Below are 20,675 nucleotides of genomic sequence, written 5' to 3'. Positions count from 1 at the left end.
GGATGCCCAGAGAAAAAGTTTGCTGCAGGGGTGGGGCCCTCATGGAGAACCTCTGCTAGGGCAGTGCAGAAGGGAAACGTGAGGTCAGAGCCCCCACACAGAGTCCCTACTGGGGCACTGTCTAGTGGAGCTATGAGAAGAGGGCAACCATCCTCCAGACCCCAGAATGGTAGATCCACTGACACCTTGCACCATGTGCTTGGAAAAGCTGTAGACACTCAACACCAGGCCATGAAAGCAGCTGGGAGGGAGGCTGTAGCCTGCAAATTCACAAGGGCGGAGCTGCCCAAGACCATGGGAACCCACCTCTTGCATCAGGATGACCTGGATTTGTGACTGGAATTCAAAGGAGATCATTTTAGAGCTTTAAAGTTTGATTGCCCCACTGGATTTCAGACTTGCATGGGGTCTGTAACCCCTTTGTTTTGGCCAATTTCTCCCATTTGGAATGGCTATATTTACCCAATACCTGTACCTCCATTGTATCTAGAAAGTAACCAGCTTGCTTTTGCTTTTATAGGTTCATAGGTGGAAGAAATTTGCCTTGTCTCAAATGAGACTTTGGACTGGGGACTTTTGGGTTAATGCTGAAATGAGTAAAGACTTTAGGGGATTGTTGGGAAGGCATGATTGGTTTTAAAATGTGAGGACATGAGATTTGGAGGGGCCAGGGGTGGAATGATATGGTTTGGCTGTGTCTCTACCCAAATCTCAACTTGAATTGTATCTCCCAGAATTCCCACATGTTGTAGGAGGGACCCAGAGGGAGGTAATTGAATCATGAGGGCCCATTTTTCTTGTGCTATTCTTGTAATAGTGAATAAGTCTCACAAGATCTGATGGATTTAGCAGGGGCTTCTGCTTTGCTTCTTCCTCATTTTCTCTTGCTGCCACCATGTAAGGAGTGCCTTTCACCTCCCGCCATCATTCTGAGGCCTCCCCAGCCATGTGGAACTATAAGTCCAATTAACACTCATTTTCTTCCCAGTCTCAGGTATGTTTTATCATTACATAAACAGTGGAAATAAAGACTTTTTCAAATATACAGTGATATAGTTTGGCTGTGTCCCCATCCAAATCTCAATTTGAATTGGATCACCCAAAATTCCCATGTGTTGTCGGAGGGACACAGGGGGAGGTAATTGAATCCTGGGAGCTGGTCGGTATGTTTTATCATACCTGAGACATACAGGTCACACAATACATATGGGTCATAAAATATTCCATCTCCTATACACGTGAGGTATAAAAAATGTTCAAGAAATTCCTTCAGGCCAAAGGAAATTCAGATGGGCTATCTAGTGAAATACAAGTTCAAACCAAAAAAATGAAGACTACTGGAAATCATAACTACTTGGATAAACACTTATTTTTTCTTTCCTTTTCAATCAACTTAGTTGATTGTTCAAGGAAAAACAATAACAACATTGGGTAATGTTTATATGAAAAGTTAAAATGTGTTACAACAGTAACATTATGACCAGTAAGAGAAAAACTGAAGTATACTTTTATGACATTTTTATACTCTACATGGAGTTATATAATATCACTTGAAGATAGACTATGATAAGTTTACGATGTACACTACAATAGCGAAGGCAACCAATAAAATAACAAAATAAAGTATTTTGCTATTAAGTGAACATAAAGATAAATGGAATCATAAATCATAAGCAATAATTTTAAAAAGGCAAATAGCAAAATGAATAAAAGATAAGGCAAATAGAAAGCAAATATTATAAAGTGCTATTAAACCTAACTACATCAATAATCACATTAAATATAAATGGTTCAAACCACCTATTAAAAAGCAGAGATTTTCATATTGGATGAAAAATAAATATATGCAGTCTGAAAGACAAGGACTTTAAAATATTTAATTGATTGTGGAAGTCATTTAACAATGTATACATATATTAAATTATCATGTAGTACACCTTAAATATATATAAAATAACTTTATTTTCAATTATATATCAATAAGCCTTGAGCAATAAAGACACAAATATGTTAAAAGTAGGAAGATGCAAAATATATTCATGTTAATAGTATTTTTTTTTTTTTTTGAGTCACCAAAGGCTGGAGTGCAGTGGCATGATCTCGGCTCACGCAACCTCTGCCTCCCAGGTTCAAGTGATTCTCCTGCCTCAGCCTCCCAAGTAGCTGGAATTACAGGTGCCTGCCACCACACCTGGCCAATTTTTGTATTTTTAGTAGAAATGGGGTTTCACCATGTTGGCCAGGCTGGTCACGAACTCCTGACCTCAAGTGATCCGCCTGCCTCAGCCTCCTGAAGTGCTGGGATTACAGGCATGAGCCACCATGCTTGGCCTTTAATACGAATTTAAAAACTGATTTGACTATATTAACTTGAATTGGTGTAAGTTTTAAGGCAAAACAGTATTACCAGGGGAAAATAAAAACATTTACAATGGCAAAGGGGTCAATTAATCAAGACATAAAGTCTAAATGTTTATTAATTTAATAATAGTGTCGTTAAATATGTAGTTTCAGTGCAGGGTCCAAGTGCCACCCAACAGCTCCCCTGGGTTCTCAAGAAAAACTTTGTGCTTGGTACAGGATGTGCTGGCAAGCTCACAAATACAGTTTTGTGAAATGAGCTCAGAGAACAGCTAGTATATCCCTGTTCCTGCTGCAGTGGGCATATATAAACTTTTTCTGGGAACTTATTACCTATATATGTGTCAATAGCCTTCAGGCACCCCCAGCTTTCTGTCATTCACACCTTTAGAGACAATGGTGGGAATTTTTCTACTTCAGCCTGAAGTGAGGCACACGTAGTCACATTGCCCTCAGTGATTGTAGAATGGATCCAATAGCCGTGGGAGACCCATGCATTGCAAGGGGCTAAATCTTATGTACTTGCTTTCTCCTCTTGCTATAAATAAACGTTGTATCACTTGAGTCTGGTGTGCATGTTGTCTCTTCATAGTGACCTAGAAACTTGCACTGTTTCCCTGATGGTACTTACCTGCCTTTTGACCTTGGCCACACTGATGTTACACTTTATCCTGCAGCACAAGCTTATCACCTAATAAAACATGAAGCAACAACTTAAAAACATCCAGAAAAAATAGACAAACTTTTTTATTTTATTTTTATTTTTTTGAGACAGAGTTTCGCTCTTGTCACACAGGCTGGAGTACAATGGCGGGATCTCAGCTCACTGCAATCTCCGCCTCCCAAGTTCAAGTGATTCTTCTGCCTCAGTGTCCTGAGTAGCTGGGATTACAAGCATGTGTCACCACGCCTGGCTAATTTTCTATTTTTAGTAGAGACGGGGACGAGGCAGGCAGATCAACTGAGTAAAGAGATCATTTCTACAGCTTCTACAGATATTCAAAGTATTTTTAAATAGATTTAAAATCTGTAGATGTTATAGTATTCTATAGATGATAAATAGATACTAGAAGATAAAAGCACAGCATAAACAACTTTATACTATTTAGGTTGACAATTTAGATGATGTGAAAAACTTTCATGGAAAACACGAATCACCAAACTTCACTCAAGATGCAATGTATATAACCAGAATAGCTCCATTGAAAAAAATTAATTTGTACTTTTAAACCTATGAAGAAAAATCCAGAAGCAGATGGATTCATTGATGAACACCAGCATCTTTAAATACTGTTTTAAAAGTAGAAATAATGCTTAATTCTGTACAAAGTCTGTTGAAGATGAGGAAATGCATCTCAGCTCATTCTGTGAAGCCTGTCCTGCTCTCACTGGAAAAGTAGACAACAGTATAAGAAACAAGGGAAAACAATAAACCAATCTCTCTCATGAACACGGATAGGAGGAGCAATACATTACTGATAACTCAAATCCAACAATATATTAAAATGCTAATACATCATTACCATGTGGGGTTTGCTCTAGAGATTCAAGGTTGTTTCAACATTTAAAATCAATCAATGTAATTTACCACATTAATAAATTAAGATGGAGGAGCCATATGCTCAATAAAAGCATAAAACTATTTAATTATTTGATAAAATGTAATATTCATTAATGATGCATACTTTGCAAACCAGAAAGAAAAATCAATCACCTTCCTGAACTTGAAATGACACCTACAAAACATTTGCATGTAATATCATATTTAATGTTGAAAGAAGTAACACTATGTTTCTAAGATCAGGAATCATAGGAGGATGCATGCTACCCACCATTTCTATCCAAACTTATACTCGAGGTTTTAGCCAATGCAATAATAAAAACATGGAAAATAAAAGGCATACAGACTAGAAGGAAAGAACAAACTTAATTCTCAGATGCCATGATTATCAACGTAGAAATTTGGTAGAATCTATAAAAAATAATAAGACTAATAAATTAGTCTATCAAGGTAATAGCATAAAATAAAAATATATGAAAAACTAATTGTACTTTTACATACTAGCTTAGTCTAGAAGGTAGAAGTAGGCTTTTATCCAACATGGCTGGTGTCTTTATAAGAAGAGGGGATTAGGACACAGATGAGACAGACTGAAGGAGAACCAGGTAAGCACACAGCAAGAAGACAGTCATCTACATGCCAAGGAAAGACAGTTCAGAAGAAATCTAACCTGCTGAAACCTGATCATGGGCTTCCTTGAACTGTAGGAAAATAAATTTCTGTTCTTTAAGCCACTCCACTTGTGGTAATTCATTATGGCAGATCAAGCAAACTAATATACTTAATAATAAGCAAAAATTGAGGCAAAATAACTCCCAAATCTGTTAATCCACACCTCATGTCCTACATAAAAATTAACTCAAAATAACCACAGATTAAAGGTAAGAAATAAAAGTATAAAATGCACAGCAGAAAACAGGAGACAATCTCCGTGGTCTTGAATTAGCAAAATTTTTTTTTTAAATATAACACATCATGTACAGAATTGATCAAATAAGTTAATAAATTGAACTTAGCTAAAATTAAAAACTTGTGGTCTTTGAAATGGACTACTAAATAAATAAAGTTAAGACACAGGCTGATAGAAAATATTTGATCCAAAAAATTATTTTGGATCACACACAGACTGTCAGACACAGACTGATAGAAAATATTTAATATTTTATATTTAAAAATAATATTTAATCCAAAAATAATTTTACTCTAGGACATATATAAACACTAAATACTGAATATAAATAAAAAACAACCCAGCAAAAAAAATCTTGAAACAAATAAAAATAGAAACACAACATACCAAAACCTATGGCATATAGCAAAAGCAGTATTAAGAGGGAAATTCATAGCAATAAACACCTACATCAAAAAAGTAGAAATATTTCAAATGAATAACGTAATGGTTTATCTTAAGAAACTAAAAAAGTAAGAACAAATCAAACCCAAAATTAATAGATGGAAAAAAATAATAAAGACCAGAGTAGAAATAATAAAATTGAGACTGAAAAAGCAATACAAAAGAACAATAAAATGGAAATTTGGCTTTTGAAAAGATAAATAAAATAAGCAAACCATTAATTAACTAGACTAACTAGAAAAAAAGATAAAAGATCCAAATTCATAAAATCAGGAAAAAGGAGAAATTACAATTAATACCACAGAAATGCAGTGAGTTATCAGAGTATTATGAAAGACATGTCAGCAAGTTGGAGAATCTAACAGAAATGGATAAATTCCTAGACACATATAATTTGCCAATATTGAGAAATACAAAACTTGAAAAGACCAATTATGAGAAATGAGATTTAATCAGTAATAATATTTCTCCCATAAAATAAAAGCCCAGAATGTGACAGTTTCACTACTAAATTCTATCAAACATTTAGAGAACTAATACCAATTCTTCTCAAAATATTTTAGAAAATCAAAGATGCTGGAATTCTTCTAAACTCATTTTCAGAGGCTAGCATCACCCTGATAACAAAACCAGATAAGGGCACATCATCACCAACAAAACTGTAAGCCAATATCCCTGATGAACATAGATACAAAATTCCTCAGCAAAATACTAGCAAACTGAACCCATCAACACATTAAAAAGAGTATACACTATAATCTAGTGGAACTTTCCCCAGGGATGCAAGAATGGCTCAACATATGCAAATCAATAAACATGATGCATCACATCAGCACAATGAAGGACAAATAACTTAATTATCTCAATAGACGCAGAAAAAGCATTTGATAGAAATCAACATCCTTGGTTGTCAAACCTCTAACAAAGTAGATATAGAAGGAGCATTCCTCAACACAATAAAGACCATATATGAAAAATCACAGTAAATATCACATGGAATGTGGAAAAGCTGAAAGTTTTCCTCTTAGAAATAGAACAAGACAAGAATGCTTACTTTCACCCCTCTTATTCAACATAGTACGAGTAATCCTAGCTAGAGAAATTAGGCAATAGAAAAATTAGAGGTTATCCAAACTGGAAATGAGGAACTTAGAACTGATCAAAAAATTCAGCAAATTTTCAGGATACAAATTAACATACAAAAAAAATCAAAATCAGTAGTGTTTTCATACACCCACAATTAACTAGCAGAAAAATAAGAAGGCAATCTTATTTATAATGGCTACAAAATAATAAAATACCTAGAAATAAATATAAAAGATTAAAGATCTCTACAAGAAAAACTATAAAAGATTGATGAAAGAAATTGAAGAGCTCACAAAAGAATGGAAAGTTTCTTTATGTTCATAGATTGAAAGAATTAATATTGTGGAAACCATATTACCAAAAGTGATCTACCAATTTCATATAATTCCTATAAGAATATCAGTGGCATTCTGCACACAAATACATATTTTTTAAATCCAAAAGTTTATATGGAATCACAGAACACCCTGAATTGCCAAAGCAATCCTGAGCAAAAAGAACAAAGCTGGAGGCATCACACTACTTTATTACAAAATATACTACAAAGCTATAGTAACCCAAACAGCATGATGCTGGCATAAAAGAAGCCACATAGACCGGTGGAACAGAATGGAGAACTCAGAAATAAATCCACATATTTAAAGCCAACTGAATTTCAAATAAAATGTACCAAGAACATTCTGTGGGGAAATAATATCATGTTTAATAAATTGTGCTGGGAAAACTGAATATTCTATCTCTCATTATATGCAACAATATCAAATTAAAATGAATTAAACACTTGAAAATAAGACCTGAAACAATACTAGAAGAAAACATTGAGGACATACTTCAGGACATTGGTCTGAGGAAATACTGTTTGGGTAAGACCTCAAAAGCATAGCCAACAAAAGCAAAAAAATAGATAAATGGAATTTGTCAAACTAAAAAGCTTCTGCACGGCAAAAACAAACAACCAAAAACAATCAACAGAGGGAAGAGACAGCCTACAGAATGGGAGGAAATATTTGCAAATGATCCATTTGATAAGGGGTTAATAACCAGAATATCTAAAAACCTTAAACAAATCAATAGCCAAAAAAAAAAACCCCAGATAATTTGATTTTAAAATGAGAAAATGATCTAAATGAACATTTCTCAAAAGAAGACATACTAATAGTCAACAGGAGTGTAAAAAATGATCAACACCATTAATCATCAGGGGATTGTAAATCAAAACTACAATGAGATATCATCTTACTCCATTTAAAATGTCTGTTATCAAAACAACAGAATTTAGCAGATACTGGCAAGGATGTGAAGAAAGGAGAACACTAGCTCACTGCTCGTGGGAATGTAAATTAGGGTGGCCACTATGAAAAAACAGTATGGAGTTTCCTCAAAAAACTAAAAACAAAACTATCATATGATCCAGCAGTTGCACTGTTTGGTATACATCCAAAACAAGCTCTGATAGGTCCATAGATATATATGCATGTTAAATTTTACATCCTATATTTTTATTGATTTTATTTCATTTTACTTTATTTATTTATTTTATTTTTTAATTTTTTTTTTTTTTTTGAGTCAGAGTTTCACACTTATCTCCCAGGCTGGAGTGCAATGGCACGGTCTTGGCTTACTGCAACCTCTGCCTCCCAGGTTCAAGGTCTTCTCCTGCCTCGGTCTCCCAAGTGGCTAGAACTACAGGCTTGCACCACTATGCCCTGCTAATTTTGTATTTTTAGTATAGACGGGGTTTCACCGCGTTGGCCAGTCTGGTCTTGAATTCCTGACCTCAGGTGATCCGCCCACCTCGGCCTCCCGAAGTGCTGGGATTACAGGCATGAGCCACCACACCCAGCCAACATCTTACATTTTTAGTATTTGCACTTTATTGTGTGCCAATGATATCTCAATAAAGTTGTTTAAAAGTTTTATACAAATTCACTTGAGTCTGCCTTTTGATATTAGTTATAAAATGATTTGGAATTTGCACTTATTGACCAAAATTGATATTACTCTTTGAAATATTTTCTTTTCATATTGAACTTTATTCCAATACAAAACTACCCAACTTATTTCAGTGTTGTGGTTTTGGTGTTGTTTTGTTTTTCCTAATTGTGTTTGCTTCATTTCCCTTATGCAAGCATATAGGTCCTGTGTTGTTAAATTTTGCAGTATACAGTAATACATTGTATTCAACCAGATCTTAAACTTTCATATATGACAAAATATTTCTGTTATATTGAATCGCTCTAAATTTAGAGGCAACAATGTGAATAGAAAACCAACTTTAACAATGACAGAGTTAAAAAAAATCCACGGGTATAAGCATTTTCCTTGTGTTAATAATGTCCAGCACTTTGGTAATAAGTTAGGAAGGAGATATTGTTTGTTCAAAGTAACTTTGCATTTTCCAAATATTCACATAACTGACACTTTTCAAAAACGCTTTTCCCCTCTAAAAAATGTTTTTGAATCCTGTGAGTACTAAAGGTGACAAAATGTATCATACGATTTTAGGTTCTGCCTGATCTTTCTAAAGGCTTATTGTTTCTAGATAATTTTAACTTCAAATTTCAATGCCAAATGTACAAATATACACAAATTTTACATGATGATGTAAATGTACATGTTATAAATTTATAAACTTAAAACATAGTATTCTAAAATAAGCAATTTTTTATAACTTTTATTTTGTAAAAATAAAATGTACAGGTTTATTACATGGGCATATTGCATGGTGCTGAGGTTTGGGGTATGACTGATCCCATCGCCCAGGTACTGAAGTATAGTACCCAATAGTTAATTTTTCAACCCTTGCCTGTCTCCTTCCCTCCTCCATCTGGTAGTCCTCAGCATCTACTGTTGCCATCTTCCTGTTCATGTATATGCAATGTTTAGCCCTGCTTGTAAGTGAGAACATGCAGTATTTGGTTTTCTGTTCCTGTGTTATTTTGCCTAGGAAAATAGCCTCCAGTTGTATTCATGTTGCTGCAAAGAACACGATTTTATTCTGATTTATGACTGCATAGTATTCCATGGTGTACCGTATTCCCTTTATCCAATCCACTGCTGATGGTGGCACCTCTGTTGATTCCATGTCTTTGCTATTGTGAACAGTGCTGTGATGAACACAGATGTGCATGTGTCTTTTTTGAGGAACAATTTATTTTCTTTGGGTATATATCCAGTAATGGGTTGCTGGGCTAAATGGTAATTCTGTTTTCAGTGTTTTGAGAAATCTTCACACTGCTTTTTACAGTGACTGAACTAACTTGCATTCCCACCAACACTGTGCAAGTGTTCCCTTTTCTCTGCAGCCTCGTCAGCTTCTATTGTTGTTAACTTTTTAGTAATAGCCATTCTGACTAATGTGAAATGATCTGATATAAAATATTGGTATGCTATTCTATATACAGTATACATGTAATATGTATGTTTCTGCATTTGTGTGTGCGCATGTATATATCACATTACGTAGCAATAAGCAATGGTAATGTATTAATGAATCTGTGGCTTTCAAATATTTATGATCTAAATAAATAGAAATAATTTTCATTCATCCCAACACTTACATTTCTGTTACAATCATTTGACAGGTTGTTTTGAATGAAAATAAACATCTCTTCAACCAGCTTGACTGTTTGTTACAGAAAATAAAGTAAGCATCGAAGTGCTTAATAGATTTAAAAAATTGGATGTGGCAAAATAAACGAATGCTAATTCCTCTATAGCTTGAGTAAATAAATGCCGCTTTAATTCAGGTGTGGTTGTGCCCGTGGGTTATGCTCTTCTGTTAACACCACCTGTCAGCAGCAACCCCATGTAAATGAGCCGGCTGAGCCTTTCCCTCGCATCTTTGCTAAGCCTCTTGCATTCTTCTAATCATGCTACACAGAAGCCAATATCTATTTTCATCAGGCAGATAAGATCTCTTAAGGAATTAGAGAGGTTTTCCGCTTAGTTCTATGCTGGGCAAGGACACGGCTGTGATCTAGGGCTTTGGGGATTTCTCATTATGCACTGGTGCCTGCTGGATCGAAGAACTGAGTTCTGGCTACTGGATTTTTGATCCTCTTGTGGTCAGGGTTAGAACTTCTAGTTACTTAAGATCTTTGATTACTCAGCACTTGGCTTTTGATTGAGTGAACTTCTGAAGACAGCACAGGGCTGTGATTTCAAGTTAGCAGTTTTAAAGTAACTACTGGAAAAAATAGATAGGAAAAGCCCTGTGATTAAGAGACACTATCCCTTTTTAATTGACTTTCTGAAGTTATCTGATGCTTAACTCTTCATGTGCCACAACAAAAAATAAAGTAAATAGAGTGAATGAATGGCTTTAAGGTTTTCCTTTAAGATGGAGAAAATTCCATGAAATGTACAGGACTCCTGGCAACTGTGAGACTGAGAGAAGCTCAGCTTTAGCTGAGGGTAACAATTGATGTGGAGAGGGTTTCATATGAAAAAGATGAAGCAGGTTTCCACCAGTGCCTGGAAATCTCCTCAGCTGATGATGTAAGTATTCAGGGAATAAATAGAAACAAGGCCACCATGATAATGTTGTCGGTTCAGAGAGAGAGAGAGAGAGAATATACACATACACATATACATACACACACATATATTCATACATACACATAGTACAAACTATATCATGAATAGAAACACATTTGTACTGGTTAAAATTATTCAGACAAGATAATCTTAAATGTCTCTCCCTGTGGAACTTAAAACAATGATATCTGGTCTCTGTTGCCCACTCCTAGAAGGAAGTTACAGGTGAGAGGTTTTCCCTCAAATTTTGAAATAACAAACATCTTTTGTGGAAGTAAAATCAGTGAGAATAACAGCTGGCCGCTCGGGCACAGGTTGCTGAAGGGGCACCCCAAGGGCTCTCACTGGTCCTAGAGTGGGTCAGCCGTTGGCTCTGGCCACTTCCTGTGGCTGCCCCTCCTCCCGGTCACTTCTGGTGTCTGGGACCTATGTTCTGCTGTGGTTGGGATTTATGGACCAGCCTCGGCAAACTAGAGTCCAAGAGCAGTCACTCAGGGTTCCTCTGGTACGAGTCAGACAGACTGAATAGTTACATGCCCAAACTCATGAAGGTCTTTTCTTAGAGCTGTGGTGGGAAAAAAAGGACATGAAGGTTTGGGACACTTTTATTCTTTCCTTCTTGGGCCACAGTCCTAATAATCAGACATTTTTTGCCTTTTAGAAAGGCCTGGGGTGGCCGGGCGTGGTGGCTCACTCCTGTAATCCCAGCACTTTGGGAGGCTGAGGCTGGTGGATCACGAGGTCAGGAGATCGAGACCATCCTGGCTAACATGGTGAAACCTCGTCTCTACTAAAAATACAAAAAATTAGCCGGGCGCGGTGGTGGGCGCCTGTAGTCCCAGCTACTCGGGAGGCTGAGGCAGGAAAATCGCTTGAACCTGGGAGGTGGAGGTTGCAGTGAGCTGAGATCACGCCACTGCACTCCAGCCTGGGCTACAGAGCGAAACTCCGTCTCAAAAAAAAAAAAAAAGTTAATTGAGTCTTATAGCAGAATAGGGATACAAGAAGAAAGTAAAACTGAAGTTATGTGGAATGATAAAGAAGTTTATGAGGGTAATGCCAATTAAACATAGTTTTAGAAAAAGCATTTCTGCTATAATTTTTGAAGATGAATTAGGGTGTGGTGAACCTCTAGGTAGGTTACCAGTAGAGCAGAAGTTAGCATCATCTCAGTGAGACGTTTTGACCAATATAAACGAAAAGGAGGAGTCAGGTTTCAAGTTTCAGATTAAAACTAACTGAAAACCCTTCTGTGCAGAGGACCTGAAACAAACACATTTTGAAGGCATAGATTTCTACATGCTAGGTTTGGGGAGAGTAGGAGAAGTTTGTGGAGAGGGGAGGACAGGTGGGAGAAGTTGAAATCACTTGGGGACATTGTGAATTGGAGGAGCATGGGAACATTTTAAATGGTGGTGTGCTGTAGGGAGTTGGGAATGTGGGTCTGGAGCTCTGCCTGGGTTCTAGAGCTCTGTGTTAGATACAGAATAGGGCTGACCTCTGCATTCAGTTTATTCAGTGGCATATTGGAGATATGAAAGAGTGTGGCTTCTGAGGCTAGGCCTTAAATCACATGTAGTTTTGGTCTTGTTCTCTCTCGAGTCAATTACCCTGGGGAAATACACCTACTATGAAGGACAGCACTCAAGAGGTCTGTGTGTCAAGGATTTGAGGCTTCCTGCCAAAAGCCAGCAGCAGTTTTCTAGGCATATGAGGGAGCCAGGCTGAAAGTATATCCTTAGCCTCAATCAAGATTTTAGATGACTCCTGCCCCAGTCAACATCTTGACTGCAGCCTCCTGGTAGACCTGAACCAAAACCGCCCAAATTCTTAGACATAGAAACTGTGAGATAATAAATGATTACTTTAAGTTCTTACATGCTGGTGTAACTGCATATGCAACAATAAATAGATAATATATCCAGTCTATCTTTCCATTATTTTGTGTTATTTCATTTTCATGGAATCACTTGCTTAGGGATCATAATTAATCATTTTACCTTTCACGGAATTGCCTTTGTTATAAGAATAGGAAATTCAGGATAAAAAATATGGAATTAGAGCAGACTTTTGGTTTTAATGCTCATCACCAGCTCTCTTTTTTTACTTTTATTTTAACAATCTTAATAATTTGTATACTCAATGATTTAGATATCCTCTAGTGAGGTTTTCAGATATGAGCCATGTGGTTCTGTAAAATTATGGTTTTCCAGTGATAAAAACTACACACAGTGAGATACCAAGCAGCCTGAGTGGAACAGAAACTTGCATAAAAGTGACAAAACTCACTTTCTCTTGATTTTTGTTGATATGAACCAGTAAAGTTGCAATGTTGCTTATGTTTTAAAAGTCATATTTAACTAAAATTCATTCAGAAACTATTATGATTTTGTCTTTAAATTCATCATAGCCTTAATGTAGTAGAGTTCCTATAACAGGGTATTCTTCATGCTAAAAAATAGTGTTTCTGTGGTTACCAATGTGGAAACCAAATGTTTTCATCCTGGGACTGGTTGTTGTGTGTAACCTAGTCCTCGGGGATTCCTCCGCCTCTGTGAGTGGATTTCACTCCCTTTAGCAGCCCTCTAGAGCACCCTTTCCTATTCCATACTCACCACAGCTGTCCTGAAATCCCAAATGGCTTCCTTCTTGTTATTAACCTTAACTATATCCCGGACGTAAATCTCATACCCTAAACTTAATCTCATTTCTCTCTTCTCCAGCGTTGTTTTGTGAAGATCTCTTTTTGTTTCACAAAAACTTCAGCATCAACTGCTTTTACCTCCGAACAAATGTCTCTGGTCTTTAGCTATTTAGTATTTCTGTAGCTGCATGTAGCTCTAATGTTGCTAGGGACACGGCAAAACAAAATAAAATAAAGTTTAAAAAAGAATGATGCACATAAAACAAGGAATTGAATATTCATCACACAACTTTCTTCACTCATGAGAAATTTCCTTGCTGAACGTGTGAATAGGAAAATCTGGAATTAACACCAAATCCATGACCAAAATCGTGATTTTCATTTTAATTATTTTATAACCTTAATCTCTACTTTTTGCAATCAAGTCATAGAGCTTAACAGATATTTTGCCTCTGCTTTTTACTTATGCCAAAATTTACTCACTTTGTTTTTTTTTTCTTTAAGTAAGAGAAATGATAAATGAAGTCAGCTTTGGTGGACGAGTATTCACCACAATTATACAATTCTCGTATTCTATCCAGATACTGCAACAACAAAACGGAGCACCTAGATATGTGCACTCTTTTATTACTTTGTAAACATATTCTCCAGCACCATGTCATGATTGTTTAATTTTTCTTTGGATTCTCTGCATGAAATATCGAGCCCCTGCTTTCCTCATCATCACACTTCAAAGGCTTAACCATCCTAATGACACAGCGAAGACAATAAATCAATAATGATTTCTACTGTGCTGGGTACTACCTGTTTCAATGGAACCTTTTTATATGTCATGTAAATAGCTGTGTTAAATCAAAAATGTGCCCATTGATCTGCAAAAACTTGTGCTGAGTAGCAAGCTGAGCACAGTCCCATTTTATCCTGGTTTGGCAATCACAGCACAGTGGCCATGGGTATCTAAAACCCTGACTCACCCGTTCCATGGAATGTGTTACTGGAAGGGTTTTGTTTCAAACTGTATTCTGCTTTAACTCATAGATGATTTGAGTCAATCAATGAGCAGATGTCTTTTTCTGCCTTGTGAGATTTACTGATGTGTTCTCTATAATCATTTAATCCACCAATGTCTAGGGCCAGTTTAGGAAAGACATTAAACATCTTCACCCAGCTGAACCGCCCAGCACAGACTGTGTGTGGAGGATGCATGGGAGTGTGGTGGATCTCTAGGTAGGTTGCCAGCAGAGGAGGTGGTTGGAATAATCTCGCTGAGATGTTGCAAGGGAAATGAAAAGCAGGAGACTTTGTTGCTTCAGCTCTTGAAAGCTCTGTATTGTTGTTAAAAGATAAACAACCAATAATCCTGGGGAAAATCCCCACTGTAGAGGAGAGGGGCAGAGAGCCTCTTGCTCTTCATAACTGAGGGGTCTTTTTAGTGATCTGGAGTCCAAGAAGAGGGGCCCATAAAACAGGATCCATCCAGCCCCTCTTATTTTGATCCCCTCCAGGATAGTAAGGACGGTTTCCTTGTTTTGGTGATGTCACTTTTGCTCTGCTTAATGGATTTGGTTACAGTTGAAAAGATTTCAGAATCTTCGGTGTTAAGCCTGCCATAAATACATAACCATTTTCCTCAGGGAACACCTGCTGTCTGGCATCTGTCTGTCAGCTGATTAAAAAAACATAACTTCTTAAATGCATATGCACTTTTCTTTAAAAAGTATCACGAACTTTTTTGTTTTAGTGCTCTATATTTTTTCCAAGTATAAATGAAGACTCAGTATTCCTGTGCTAGAAAAAAAAAATCACTAATTGGATCACTTTTGATTTACTTGCTTGTACTCTCCATTTTTTGTGTACTGGATACATTTTTGCGAGGGCTGCCCTATTCTTAGGGACAAATTGATTCACAAATAGAATTTGGTGGGGAAAAAAATGCAATGGGAGAGAAAGCCAGAAAGAAACTGGAGTAGGAGAGGAGAGAATCAGCAAATTAGGAGAGAGTCAAAAATAACTCTGGGATAGGTACACCTTCATTAAGGGGATCAATGCCATCCAGCTAAGTGGCATCCCTTGCAATGTTCATTATAAAATCAAAGAGCATTTGCAAAAATGGTGTCCCTATTGCATGTGATAAGGGGCTTCATTGGGACTTTTTCATGAAAATGTTAAGAACTTTTGTTGGCTAATGTATTTTCCTCTCCATCTACTACTATCTTGTTAGTTATCACTTGCCAGGATGACTGAAACCAATTTATAACTTTTCCCACTCTCTTTAGCCATAGTTACTCACCCCAATTCCCAGTCCATTTCTTTCTCTGCTTTGTTACCAGAACAATTTCCTAGTAAAAAATGAAATAATGCTAATATCCTGATTTTTAAAACTAAGTAAATTTAAGTATCAGTATCTCCAAGATCCTATGATTAGGATAAAGTCCATAATGTCCTTTATAGACCAAGTTTCCTGAAAGTGAGTAATGTAGCATGTGTTTTCTTTGTAGCACCACGTGCAGAAAATCCATCTTTGCAGAAGGAAGCAGCTCCCTAGCAGGGCATCCTTTCACCCTCTTTGCCTAATCTATGTCAACTGTCCCATTTTCTGCCTCCCTAAAAGCTTCCTGTAGTCAGTCAGTCGTTAGACCTTTGCCAGAGCATCTACCACATACTGTGTACCTTCTAAGTCACAGAAATTTAGATAAAATTGATAGTTCATTATTTGACCTCTAGGAAATCTCCAGCGAATGTGACAAACCACCAGGCAATTATATGGTCCTGTGATGAGTACCAGGTGGGAAAAGGTTCAACCTAGGCCATCATGGGGAAACCCCATAGATGATGTGTGAGCTGTTATCCTAGGGTTAAAAGAGTAATGCACTGGCCTCAATGTTGAGCACAGAGGAGGTGACATAGGCAAGGCAGGGATTGATGGAAGGACCAGCACATGTTGGAAACTTTCCCCACAGGAAGTGCCAGTTGTGGGTTGGGGAATGAAGTGGGGTTGTCTTACAGAGGTTGCCAGGATCACATCGTGAAAGGCAGTTGCAGGTCATGTTTAGGATCTGGGGTTTTACCCAGAAGGTAATGGTGGGGAATGGGAGGGCATAGCATTTTCCTGAATGATTCATTGCATTTGACAAATTTTCTCAGGGAAGACTGTAAATGACTTGAGATTATAAAGGTATCAGGGGTCCTGGCAGCCTCTAGAAGTTACTTTTCAAACACGCAGACTTCAGATACTAGAATTCAGAGTCAACTAATTTGATTCAGGAAAGCTGTGATTTCCAATTCCAGGAGAAATAATTCCTTAAGGAGTGTTTCTTCAGCCTCCGCTGGCTCCAGTCCAGAGATCAAAGACGCCCACTCACCTACCCTTTGTCACACCAATGCCCAGCCCCATCAATCTGCTTCCTTCCTTCCGACTCCATCCCCACCATGTCCTACAGCAGAGAGGAAAAAAGAAAGAGAAGGAAAGTTAAAAATGACTAAAAGCATATAAGTTTTCATGTAAAATGCAAGACATATTTAGATGGAAAATGATATATATGCCAGCTTGGGAAAAGGCTAAGTGAGCATGATTTTTAAAAGTCAGTGACAAAATATTAAGATTGATGCAGGTTCTGCAGGAATACAGTGCCAAGATTAGATAAAACCAATTATTTACTCTCATCACTTAGAGCAGTTATGAATTCACTGTAGCAGTTGTAATTGTTGGGAAAGGAAATAATTGACCAGATAACATACTGAGTAACTAATGGGAATCACTCATTTCTTAGGTAATCTGAGATCTGCGTGTAGACCGATACCTCAGTGTCACAGGGCAATGGAGTTTTTTGCCCAGTATAATTTTTTTCATACCAAATAATCAGCATCCTCAATACAAATATTGTGATTATCCTCAAACAGTTCAATTTTAAAAATGTGTATTAAGCAGCAACCCTGGAACCTTCATCCTAATGTACTGTGTGCTCTTCAGAGAAATCCTTTTGTGTCTCTGGACTTCACTTTTCTCATAACCATTTTCAAGCAAACAAAAATACTCACTGCAAAGTAAATAAATTAATAACTGCATGTAATTTTTATTTTAAGTTAAATCTGGTTAGTGATTAAAACTTCTAAAAATTAATTCTTAGATTCTCTGGAATATAACTGTGTTTAGTAGGGCAAAATAATATATATCTACCTACCCACTTGTATCTAGTACATGACCCAAAAATGCCAGATATAAGGGAAAGATCCATTCTACTTTTGATGAGACATTAATGAGGCAATGTCTGATTTTATTAAATATTATACATTATTCATAAACCATCCATTCCGGAAACTAAAATATAGACATTTTCATATTAGAAGCATCAATACTACATGAGATTAGCCTGCGGGTCACCTGGAGGGACCTCAGGGACACACACACATCCCAGAACAATTTGGGAACAGTTGCTCTGAATGACACCCAATGGTGAATTTAGAATAGTTTCTCTTTGGGGGAGAAATAAATCCATTTTTAAAAGTTTATTTTTACAATGTTCCTTTGTTCTTCTGACCTATAAAATAGACCTTTGCTTCTCATGAATGTGTTAAACAAAAATGATGATTTTAAGTTATCTAAAATAAACATGATTTAACTTAGAACCTTATTGTGAAGAGCTGTGAAAAATTAGACATAAGAATAAATCTTATTCCTTCAACTTCCAACTAAAGTAAAATGCATTTTAGATACCACTTTATTTTTTGTGTACATTAACAATGTCACACCAAAAACATATTCAATTCTCATGATTAAAAAGACTATGCAAACAATTCCAAAATGCTGTAGCACATTCTGAGTGATGGCAAATTTAAGTGCTGTTATTCTTTGATTAATATAAAATAAAGATGTTTGGATGATTTTATAACAGCCTTTAAGAGATAAATAACATTTAAAAATGTGTAACTAAAGTTGAAACTACTCACGTGAGAATTTTTTGTAAATAATTTTCACGTTTTAAATAAACATGAAGGACTATCCTACTGTTACAATTTATACTTAGTACCTGGTTTTAACTACTCTCACTGTCATGAGTTTAATTGTGTCCATCCAACCTGCCCCAAATTTATCTTGAAGTCCTAGCAGTTAGCACCTCCAAGCCTGATCTTTGGAGGCTGGGTCCTTAAAGGGGTAATCTACTTAAAATGACCTCATTAAGGTGGGTTCTAATCAACATGACTGATGTCCTTACAAAAGAGAAAACTTGGAGACAGATATGAACATGGAGAGCACACCATATGCAGTTGAAGGTGGAGACTGGGATGAAGCTTCTCAAAGTCCAAGAATGCTGAATATTGCCATGAAACCACAGAAGCTATGAGAGAAGCCTGGAACAGCATCTCCGTTCCAGTCTCAGAAAGAATTAGCCCTGCCAACTCCCAGATCTTGGACTTCTGGCCTCCAAAGCTATCAGGAATAAATTTCTGTTGTTTGTGATTTTTTTTTTTTTTTTGGAGACAGGGGTCTCACTCTGTTGCCCAGGCTAGACTCAAACTCCTGGGCTCAAGCTTTAACCTCTGAAATAGCTGAAACTGTAGGCATCTCACCACGCCTAACAAATTTTTGTTGTTTAAACCATCCAGTTTGTTGTATGATGTTGCCACAGTTCTAGCAAACTAATATACTTGCTATTGACATACAATGGTTGCCGACTTTTTGGCACCTGTGTATTGTCTTATGGAAGACAATGTTTCCATGGACGGGGTGGTAAGGGGGACGGTTTCAAGATGAAGCCGTTCACCTCAGATCACCAGGCATTCGACTCTCATAAGGAGCGCACAACCTAAATCACTCACCTGCGCAGTTCACAACAGAACTACGAAGAACCATGAGAATCTGATGCCACTGCCGATCTGACGGGAGGTGGAACTCAGGCAGTAGTGCGAGTGATGGGAAGCAGCTGTAAATACAGATGAAGCTTTGTTCGCTCACCCCCTGCTGTGTGGCCCAGTTCCTAACAGGCCATGGACCAGTACCAGTCCATGACCCAGGGGTTGGGGACTCCTGGTCTAATAGACATCCTTTTTTTTCTTGCCTCCTTACTATCTATATTGCTCATATTTTCAGGTCTCTTAATAGTTTTTAGAATAAAAGACATGTATGCTCCATTGTGTGCCAACTGGCCCTTTTCCTTCCACTCCCCTGAGAGTTCAGGAGAACCATATATTATTTTCACCAGAAAAGAAGACATTTGATAAAATGTGCACGGATTCGTTAACGTTTAATAACCAACCACTGTATGTGTCTTCCAGGTACACACCCATCCCTTCCCAAAAGAGCCCTCAAAGGCGGCCACCCCTGCTGGAGAGTCCCTGGCCATGTGGGGCACCAAACCTTTGCAGTAGTCGTGCTGTCTCTCCAATTATCCTTCCCTCATCCTTTGATTAACTAACTGCTCTCCGAACAAAGACTGTGCTTCCAGGAGCTCCTGTTTTCATACACAGTCCTCCGGGACAAGCCAGCAGCACTCAAAGTGGGCCTGGAGCCAGGATCTGGACTGGAGAAGTGATGGACTCTGGATAAGGGGCAGCCCGCCCTGTGTCCCAGTTTTCTTCCAGTGAAGTGAGAAGGCTTTAATAAGCTAGCTGAGGAGCAAGGAGCAAGTGAGAACCACCTGGAAAGCATTTAGAGCAATTCCTGGCAGATGGAAAGTACTTAATTATATAATGTTTTCCTTTTACTCCCACAGCGCCATAGGCATCCTTCTGTCTGAAATGCCCCCATGCTGCCTCTCAATCTTCTCTCTGCCTGCCTGCCTTGCCCACTCTTTACATCTTTGTCTATATAAAATGCAGCTGGCAATAGATACATTTATTGAGTGCTCCTTACAAACATCTCATAGCATTGAATTCTTAAGTTTTAATTTTTGCCATATACATTAAGAGTTATACTTCCCTTTATATAGATGAGAAGATTAGACATAAGGAGATTAGGGATTGCACTGGCGGTGCTGATCTTCATAATGTCTCACCAAAATCTCTGCACTTTCAATTTACAGACACACTTAGAATGCAGCCAAAAACTTTGCCAAAGAACATCTCTGGTTGAACAGAGTTAAGTCATCCTGCAGTCAAGGCTAATGCTGACGAGGAGGAGACAATGGCAGTGA

The 20,675-nt window shown here is 37.4% G+C and overlaps 1 long non-coding RNA gene across 1 annotated transcript in view; it reads left to right on the top strand.

Moving 5' to 3' along the window:
* Positions 1 to 20,372, top strand: part of LOC107986400 (uncharacterized) — a 137,038-nt gene extending 116,666 nt beyond the window's left edge. The window contains exon 3 of the long non-coding RNA XR_007059111.1: positions 19,819 to 20,372. This is a non-coding gene — a long non-coding RNA (uncharacterized LOC107986400). The remainder of the gene's footprint in view (positions 1 to 19,818) is intronic.
* Positions 20,373 to 20,675: the final 303 nt, after the last annotated feature.

This window comes from Homo sapiens, chromosome 5 (genome assembly GCF_000001405.40).
Source record: "Homo sapiens chromosome 5, GRCh38.p14 Primary Assembly".
Taxonomy (NCBI): Eukaryota; Metazoa; Chordata; class Mammalia; order Primates; family Hominidae; genus Homo; species Homo sapiens.
The sequence above is the reverse complement of the archived record's forward strand: the minus strand, read 5'-3'. Positions and strand labels throughout refer to the sequence as shown.